At 39.9% G+C, this 6,777-nt stretch overlaps 2 annotated features.

Annotated features, from left to right (window-relative positions):
* Positions 1,082-1,582: an enhancer, noted in NCBI's record as "H3K27ac hESC enhancer chr5:87310961-87311461 (GRCh37/hg19 assembly coordinates)". NCBI's record gives its function as "activates a minimal SCP1, AML or CMV promoter by ChIP-STARR-seq in naive H9 embryonic stem cells {active_cell/tissue: H9 hESC(naive)}" and the evidence as "EXISTENCE:reporter gene assay evidence [ECO:0000049][PMID:30033119]".
* Positions 1,583-2,083: an enhancer, noted in NCBI's record as "H3K27ac hESC enhancer chr5:87310460-87310960 (GRCh37/hg19 assembly coordinates)". NCBI's record gives its function as "activates a minimal SCP1, AML or CMV promoter by ChIP-STARR-seq in naive H9 embryonic stem cells {active_cell/tissue: H9 hESC(naive)}" and the evidence as "EXISTENCE:reporter gene assay evidence [ECO:0000049][PMID:30033119]".

Raw genomic sequence — 6,777 nt, 5'->3', positions numbered from 1 at the left:
TCCCAGAAGGAAAAAATAGAGATAATGGGGGAGAATTTTTCAGTATCACAGTGAGTGCCAGAAGTGGTAAATAAAAATGATCTTTTATCTAGATACATCACAGTAAAACTGCAAAACACCAAATACCAAGTGAGAAATCTTGAAAGCTACAGCAGAAAAGGATTATCTCTTAAGAATATATATAAAAGAATTCCAACTAAACAGTAGACATATCAACAGCAACAGGAAGCCAGAGATAATGGAAAAATCTTCACAAGGGTGAAAGAAATGAACCGCCAACCAAAAAATATATGTCCAGCTTCACTATCATTTAGGAGTTAGGGAAAAATATATTTAAAGTGAGCAAGCAAGCAAACAAACAAAGCATCTACTATACAGTAAGAAGAAAATTTAACCTAAGAAAAAGGACTAAGATGTAAGAATGTTGAGTAAATAAATTTGTAAACTTGTCTTTAAATCTAAAAAGTTACCTATAAACAAATATGAAAATATTGAATAATTTGGGGAAATTAGTTCAAATAAAGTAAATAAATATTTATAAAATTTACATATAAAGGAGGAAAGAACAGAGTTAACACATTCTACAGTTCTACAGTAATTTGCCTGTCATATATCTTCTTTGGTTAATTTCTGCTCAAGTCTTTAGCCCATTTAATAATGTGTTTAAGTTTTCAGAGTTCTTCATACGTTCCTGTTACAAGTTCTATTTCAGACAGGTGATTTACAAATCTTTTCTCACAAACTGTAGTGTGTCTTTTCTTCCTTGTAACAGTGTTTTTTGAAGAGCAAAGTTTTAAGTTTTGATAAGTCCATTTATCATTTTCTTCTTTTATGGGTTGAGCTTTTGCTGTCATAGCTGAGAATTCTTTCCCTAACATTAGATCACAGAATTTTCTCCTATGTTTTATTCTAAAAGTTTTACAATTTTCAATTTGACATTTATATTTGTGATTAATTTTGAATTAATTTTTATATAAGATATGCCATTGAGGTTGAGATTGATCTTTTGGCACATGGATGCCCAATTATTTCAACACCACTTGTTGAAAAGTCTACTTTTTCTGCTTTGAATTGTCTTTACATATTTTGTCAAAAATCAATTTGAGGGTGGAGCCAAGATGGCCAAATAGGAACAGCTCCGGTCTACAGCTCCCAGCCCGTGAGTGACGCAGAAGACGGGTGATTTCTGCATTTCCATCTGAGGTACCAGGTTCATCTCACTAGGGAGTGCCAGACAGTGGGTGCAGGACAGTGGGTGCAGCGCACCGTGCATGAGCCAAAGCAGGGCAAGGCATTGCCTCACTCAGGAAGTGCAAGGGGTCAAGGAGTTCCCTTTTCTAGTCAAAGAAAGGGGTGACATACGGCACCTGGAAAATCAGGTCACTCCCACCCTAATACTGTGCTTTTCCAACGGGCTTAAAAAATGGCACACCAGGAGATTATAACCCTCAACTGGCTCAGAGGGTCCTATGCCCACGGAGTCTCCCCAATTGCTAGCACAGCAGTCTGAGATCAAACCGCAAGGTGGCAGCGAGGCTGGGGGAGGGACGCCTGCCATTGCCCAGGCTTGATTAGGTAAACAAAGCAGCCTGGAAGCTCGAACTGGGTGGAGCCCACCACAGCTCAGGGAGGCCTGCCTGCCTCTGTAGGCTCCACCTCTGGGGGCAGGGCACAGACAAACAAAAAGACAGTAGTAACCTCTGCAGACTTAAGTGTCCCTGTCTGACAGTTTTGAAGAGAGTAGTGGTTCTCCCAGCACGCAGCTGGAGATCTGAGAACGGGCGGACTGCCTCCTCAAGTGGGTCCCTGACCCCCGAGCAGCCTAACTGGGAGGCACCCCCCAGTAGGGGCAGACTGACACCTCACACCGCCGGGTACTCCTCTGAGACAAAACTTCCAGAGGAATGATCAGGCAGCAGCATTTGCAGGTCACCAATATCCGCTGTTCTACAGCCACTGCTGCTGATACCCAGGCAAACAGGGTCTGGAGTGGACCTCTAGCAAACTCCAACAGACCTGCAGCTGAGGGTCCTGTCTGTTAGAAGGAAAACTAACAAACAGAAAGGACGTCCACACCAAAAACCCATCTGTACGTCACCACCATCAAAGACCAAAAGTAGATAAAACCACAAAGATGGGGAAAAAACAGAGCAGAAAAACTGGAAACTCTAAAAAAACAGAGCACCTCTCCTCCTCCAAAGGAACGCAGCTCCTCACCAGCAATGGAACAAAGCTGGATGGAGAATGACTTTGATGAGTTGAGAGAAGAAGGCTTCAGATGATCAAACTACCCTGAGCTACAGGAGGAAATTCAAATCAATGGCAAAGAAGTTAAAAAGTTTGAAAAAAAATTAGACGAATGGATAACTAGAATAACCAATGCAGAGAAGTCCTTAAAGGAGCTGATGGAGCTGAAAGCCAAGGCTCGAGAACTATGTGAAGAATGCAGAAGCCTCAGGAGCCGATGTGATCAACTGGAAGAAAGGGTATCAGTGATGGAAGATGAAATGAATGAAATGAAGCGAGAAGGGAAGTTTAGAGAAAAAAGAATAAAAAGAAATGAACAAAGCCTCCAAGAAATATGGGACTATGTAAAAAGACCAAATCTACGTCTGATTGGTGTACCTGAAAGTGACAGAGAGAATGGAACCAAGTTGGAAAACACTCTGCAGGATATTATCCAGGAGAACTTCCCCAATCTAGCAAGGCAGGCCAACATTCAGATTCAGGAAATACAGAGAACGCCACAAAGATACTCCTCGAGAAGAGCAACTCCAAGACACATAATTGTTAGATTCACCAAAGTTGAAATGAAGGAAAAAATGTTAAGGGCAGCCAGAAAGAAAGGTCAGGTAACCCACAAAGGGAAGCCCATCAGACTAACAGCGGATCTCTCAGTAGAAACTCTATAAGCCAGAAGAGAGTGGGGGCCAATATTCAACATTCTTAAAGAAAAGAATTTTCAACCCAGAATTTCATATCCAGCCAAACTAAGCTTCATAAGTGAAGGAGAAATAAAATCCTTTACAGACAAACAAATGCTGAGAGATTTTGTCACCACCAGGCCTGCCCTAAAAGAGCTCCTCAAGGAAGCACTAAACATGGAAAGGAACAACTGGTACCAGCCACTGCAAAAACATGCCAAAATGTAAAGACCATCAAGGCTAGGAAGAATCTGCATTAACTAACGAGCAAAATAACCAGCTAACATCGTAATGACAGGACAAATTCACACATAACAATATTAACTTTAAATGTAAATGGGCTAAATGCCCCAATTAAAAGACACAGACTGGCAAATTGGATAAAGAGTCAAGACCCATCAGTGTGCTGTATTCAGGAAACCCATGTCACGTGCAGAGACACACATAGGCTCAAAATAAAGGGATGGATGAAGATCTAACAAGCAAATGGAAAACAAAAAAAGGCAAGAGTTGCAATCCTAGTCTCTGATAAAACAGACTTTCAACCAACAAAGATCAAAAGAGACAAAGAAGGCCATTACATAATGGTAAAGGGATCAATTCAACGAGAAGAGCTAACTATCCTAAATATATATGCACCCAATACAGGAGCACCCAGATTCATAAAGCAAGTCCTGAGTGACCTACGAAGAGACTTAGACTCCCACACAATAATAATGGGAGACTTTAACACCCCACTGTCAACATTAGACAGATCAACGAGACAGAAAATTAACAAGGATACCCAGGAATTGAACTCAGCTCTGCACCAAGCAGACCTAATAGACATCTACAGAACTGTCCACCCCAAATCAACAGAATATACATTTTTTTCAGCACCACACCACACCTATTCCAAAATTGACCACATAGTTGGAAGTGAAGCACTCCTCAGCAAATGTAAAATAACAGAAATTATAACAAACTGTCTCTCAGACCACAGTGCAATCAAACTAGAACTCAGGATTAAGAAGCTCACTCAAAACCACTCAACTACATGGAAACTGAACAACCTGCTCCTGAGTACTACTGGGTACATAACGAAATGAAGGCAGAAATAAAGATGTTCTTTGAAACCAACGAGAACAAAGACACAACATACCAGAATCTCTGGGACACATTCAAAGCAGTGTGTAGAGGGCAATTTATAGCACTAAATGCCCACAAGAGAAAGCAGGAAAGATCCAAAATTGACAACCTAACATCACAATTAAAAGAACTAGAAAAGCAAGAGCAAACACATGCAAAAGCTAGCAGAAGGCAAGAAATATCTAAAATCAGAGCAGAACTGAAGGAAATAGAGACACAAAAAACCCTTCAAAAAAGTAATGAATCCAGGAGCTGGTTTTTTGAAAAGATCAACAAAATTAATAGACCACTAGCAAGACTAATAAAGAAGAAAAGAGAGAAGAATCAAATAGATGCAATAAAAAATGATAAAGGGGATATCACCACTTATCCCACAGAAATACAAACTACCATCACAGAATACTACAAACACCTCTATGCAAATAAACTAGAAAATCTAGGAGAAATGGATAAATTCCTGGACACATACACCCTCCCAAGACAAAACCAGGAAGAAGTTGAATCTCTGAATAGACCAATAACAGGCTCTGAAATTGTGGCAATAATCAATAGCTTACCAATCAAAAAAAGTCCAGGACCAGATGGATTCACATCTGAATTCTACCAGAGGTACAAGGAGGAGCTGTTACCATTCCTTCTGAAACTATTCTAATCAATAGAAAAAGAGGGAATCCTCCCTAGTTCATTTTATGAGGCCAGCATCATCCTGATACCAAAGCCTGGCAGAGACACAACCAAAAAAGAGAATTTTAGACCAATATCCTTGATGAACATTGATGCAAAAATCCTCAATAAAATACTGGCAAACCAAATCCAGCAGCACATCAAAAAGCTTATCCACCACGATCAAGTGGGCTTCATCCCTGGGATGCAAGTCTGGTTCAACATACGCAAATCAATAAATGTAATCCAGCATATAAACAGAACCAAAGACAAAAACCACATGATTATCTCAATAGATGCAGAAAAGGCCTTTGACAAAATTCAACAGCCCTTCATGCTAAAAACTCTCAATAAATTAGGTATTGATGGGACATATCTCAAAATAATAAGAGCTATCTATGACAAACCCACAGCCAATATCATACTGAATGGGCAAAAACTGGAAGCATTCCCTTTGAAAACTGGCACAAGACAGGGATGCCCTCTCTCACCACTCCTATTCAACATAGTGTTGGAAGTTCTGGCCAGGGCAATTAAGCAGGAGAAGGAAATAAAGGGTATTCAATTAGGAAAAGAGGAAGTCAAATTGTCCCTGTTTGCAGATGACATGATTGTATATCTAGAAAACCCCATTATCTCAGCCCAAAATCTCCTTAAGCTGATGAGCAACTTCAGCAAAGTCTCAGGATACAAAATCAATGTACCAAAATTACAAGCATTCTTATACACCAATAACAGACAAACAGAGAGCTAAATCATGAGTGAACTCCCATTCACAATTGCTTCAAAGAGAATAAAATACCTAGGAATCCAACTTACAAGGGATGTGAAGGACCTCTTCAAGGAGAACTACAAACCACTGCTCAGTGAAATAAAAGAGGATACAAACAAATGGAAGAACATTCCATGCTCGTGGGTAGGAAGAATCAATATTGTGAAAATGGCCATACTGCCCAAGGTAATTTATAGATCCAATGCCATCCCCATCAAGCTACCAATGACTTTCTTCACAGAATTGGAAAAAACTACTTTAAAGATCATATGGAACCAAAAAAGAGCCCACATTGCCAAGACAATCCTAAGCCAAAAGAAGAAAGCTGGAGGCATCACACTACCTGACTTCAAACTATACTACAAGGCTACAGTAACCAAAACTGCGTGATACTGGTACCAAAACAGAGATATAGACCAATGAAACAGAACAGAGCCCTCAGAAGTAACACCACACATCTACAACCATCTGATCTTTGACAAACCTGACAAAAACAAGCAATGGGGAAAGGATTCCCTATTTAATAAATGGTGCTGGGAAAACTGGCTAGCCATGTGTAGAAAGCTGAAACTGGATCCCTTCCTTACACCTTATACAAAAATTAATTCAAGATGGATTAAAGACTTAAATGTTAGACCTGAAACCATAAAAACCCCAGAAGAAAACCTAGGCAAGACCATTCAGGACATAGGCATGGGCAAGGACTTCATGTCTAAAACACCAAAAGCAATGGCAACAAAAGCCAAAATTGACAAATGGGATCTAATTAAACTAAAGAGCTTCTGCACAGCAAAAGAAACTACCATCAGAGTGAACAGGCAACCTACAAAATGGGAGAAAATTTTCACAACCTACTCATCTGACAAAGGGCTAATATCCAGAATCTACAAAGAACTCAAACAAATTTACAAGAAAAAAACAAACAACCCCATCAACAAGTGGGTGAAGGATATAAATAGACACTTCTCAAAAGAAGACATTTATGCAGCCAAAAAACACATGAAAAAACGCTCATCATCACTGGCCATCAGAGAAATGCAAATCAAAACCACAATGAGATACCATCTCACACCAGTTAGAATGGCGATCATTAAAAAGTCAGGAAACAACAGGTGCTGGAGAGGATGTGGAGAAATAGGAATGGTTTTACACTATTGGTGGGACTGTAAACTAGTTCAACCATTGTGGAAGTCAGTGTGGCGATTCCTCAGGGATCTAGAACTAGAAATACCACTTGACCCAGCCATCCCATTACTGGGTATATACCCAAAGGATTATAAATCATGCTGC

The sequence above is a fragment of the Homo sapiens genome, chromosome 5, assembly GCF_000001405.40.
Source record: "Homo sapiens chromosome 5, GRCh38.p14 Primary Assembly".
In the NCBI taxonomy this organism is placed as follows: Eukaryota; Metazoa; Chordata; class Mammalia; order Primates; family Hominidae; genus Homo; species Homo sapiens.
The sequence above is the reverse complement of the archived record's forward strand: the minus strand, read 5'-3'. Positions and strand labels throughout refer to the sequence as shown.